Genomic DNA, 3,138 nt, shown 5'->3' on the forward strand with positions numbered 1-3,138 from the left:
TAACGAGCCTATTTTTAAAAATCAGTAAGGATACAGAAGTTTTGAACAGCACTATTAATTAACTCGATGTATTTGACAGAGATGGAACATTTTACCTAACAATTATAGAATGTATTTTCTTTTCAAATTTACCTGGGAATGTACAAAAGAGAACCATTTTCTGGGCCGTAAAGAAAGAGTATAGTTAAGCTAGAATTAAAAAAATAAAACTATATATATATATATAATATATATATATAATATATATATACATATATGTGTGTGATATATATATTCACACTTATATAGGTATTATGTATTTACACATATCTAGGTATAGTCGGATACAGACATAAACACATATACAAAATTGAATCCTCAACTAATTGGAAATTAACAGAACTTTTTTTAAGTTGAGGGATACACGTGCAGGTTTGTTAGCTAGGTAAACCTGTGTCATGGGGGTTTGTTGTACAGATTATTTTTATCACCCAGGTATTAAGCATAGCATTCATTAGTTATTTTTCCTGATCCTCTACCTCCTCTTTAGTTTAATTAGATCCCATTTGCCAATTTTAACTTCTGTTGCACATGCTTTTGGCATCTTTGTCATGAAATCTTTGCCTGTTCTCCTATGTCTTGGATGGTACTGCCTAGGTTATCTTCTAGCATTTTTATATTATATTTCTGGGGTTTACATTTATGTCTTTAACTCATCTTGAGTTAGTTTATGTATATGGTGTAAAGAAGGGGTCCATATGACTTCATAATGACTCAAAGATTAGAAAATATTTTCACCTGAATAACAAGAATATGAGAATCAACAAATGATGCTGGAACAGCTAGATATCTCTATTCGTTTTAAAAGAGGAGAGGAGTCGCTTCCAAGATGGCCGAATAGAAACAGCTCCAGTCTACAGCTCCCATTGAGGTTGATGCAGAAAACGGGTTATTTCTGCATTTTCAACTGAGGTACCTGGTTCATCTCATTGGGACTGCTTGGACAGTGGGTGCAGCCCATGGAGAATGAGCAGGGCAGGACGCCGACTCTCTCAGGAAGCACAAGGGGTTGAGGGATTTCCCTTTCCTAGACAAGGGAAGCTGTGAATGACTGTACCTGGAGGAATGGTGCAGCCCAAATACTGCACATTTCCCATGGTCTTTGCAACTGGTAAACCAGGAGATTGCCTCCCGTGACTGGCTCAGTGGGTTCCATGCACACAGAGCCTTGCTCCCTTCTAGCACAGCAGTCAGAGATCGAACTGGGATGCCCCAGCTTGGCCGGGGGAGGGGCATCTGCCATTGCTGAGGCTTGAGTAGGTGGTTCAATGCTCATGGTATAAACAAAGCAACAGGGAAACTCCAACTGGGTGGAGCCCACCATAGCTCAGCAAGGCCTACTGACTCTAGATTCCACCTCTAGGGGCAGGGCATATCTGGACAAAAGGCAGCAGACAGCTTCTGCAGACATAAACATCACTGCTTGACAGCTCTGAAGAGAGCAATGGTTCTCTCAGCATGGCGTTTGAGCTCCGATAATGGACAGACTGCCTTCTCAAGTGGGTCCCTGATCCCCGTGTAGCCTGACTGGGAGACACCTCCCAGTAGGGGCCGACAGACCCTCATACAGGCAGGTGCCCCTCTGGGATGAAGCTTCCAGAGGAAGGATCAGGCAGCAATATTCACTGTTTTGCAGCCTCTGCTGATGATACCCAGGCAAACAGGGTCTGGAGTGGACCTCCAGCAAACTCCAACAGAATGGCAGCTGAGAGGCCTGTTAGAAGGAAAACTAAAAAACAGAAAGGAATCAAATCAACATCAACAAAAAGGACATCCACATCAAAACCCCATCTGTAGGTCACCAACATCAAAGAACAAAGGGAGATAAAACCACAAAGATGGGGAGAAACCACAGAAGAAAGGCTGAAAATTCCAAAAAACAGAATGCCTCTTCTCGTCCAAAGGAACACAACTCCTTCCCAGCAAGAGAACAAAACTGGATAGAGCATGACTTTGAAGAGTTGACAGAAGTAGGCTTCAGAAGGTCAGTAATAACAAACTTCTCTGAGCTAAAGGAGCATGTTCTAACCCATCGCAAGGAAGCTAAAAACCTTGAAAAAAAGGTTAGATGAATGGCTAACTAGAATAACCAATGTAGAGAAGACCTTAAATGACCTGATGAGGCTGAAAACCACAGTTCAAGAACTTTGTGAAGCATACACTAGCTTCAATGGCCGATTCGATCAAGTGAAAGAAAGGATATCAGTGATTGAAGATCAAATTAATGAAATAAAGTGAGAAGACAAAATTGAGAAAAAAGAGTGAAAAGAAATGAACAAACCCTCCAAAAAATACGGGAGGATGTGAAAAGACAAAATCTGCATTGGATTGGTGTACCCAAAACTGATGGGGAGAATGGAACCAAGTTGGAAAACACTCTTCAGCATATTATCCAGGAGAGCTTCCCCAACCCAGCAACACAGGCCAACATTCAAATTCAGGAAACACAAAGATACTCCGCGAGAAGAGCAACACCAAGACACATAATTGTCAGCTTCACCAAGGTTGAAATGAAAAAAAAAAAAAAAAGTTAAAGGCAGCCAGAGAGAAAGGTCGGGTTACCCACAAAGGGAAGCCCATCAGACTAACAACAGATCTCTTGGCAGAAACCCTACAAGCCAGAAGAGAGTGGGGTCCAAACTTCAACATTCTTAAAGAAAAGAATTTTCAACCCAGAATTTCATATCCAGACAAACTAAGTTTCACAAGTGAAGAAATAAAATCCTTTACAGACAAGCAAATGCTGAGAGATTTTGTCACCACTAGGCCTGCCTTACAAGAGGTCCTGAAGGAAGCACTAAACATGGAAAGAAACAACTGGTACCAGCGACTGCAAAAACATGGCAAATTGTAAAGACTATGGACGTTATGAAGAAACTGCATAAATTAACGGGCAAAATAAGCAGCTAGCATCATCATGACAGGATCAAATTCACATATAACAATATTAATCTTAAACGTAAATGAGCTAAATGCCCAAATTAAAAGACACAGACTGGCAAATTGGATAAAGAGTCAAGACTCATCTGCGTGCTGTATTCAGGAGACCCATCTCACATATACAGACACACATAGGCTCAAAACAAAGGGATGGAGGAA

General features: G+C 40.9%; 1 annotated feature.

Moving 5' to 3' along the window:
• Positions 1,255 to 1,434: an enhancer, noted in NCBI's record as "active region_23494". NCBI's record gives its function as "activates an Ori minimal core promoter by ATAC-STARR-seq in GM12878 lymphoblastoid cells {active_cell/tissue: GM12878}" and the evidence as "EXISTENCE:reporter gene assay evidence [ECO:0000049][PMID:35858748]".

Source organism: Homo sapiens, chromosome 5, assembly GCF_000001405.40.
Source record: "Homo sapiens chromosome 5, GRCh38.p14 Primary Assembly".
In the NCBI taxonomy this organism is placed as follows: Eukaryota; Metazoa; Chordata; class Mammalia; order Primates; family Hominidae; genus Homo; species Homo sapiens.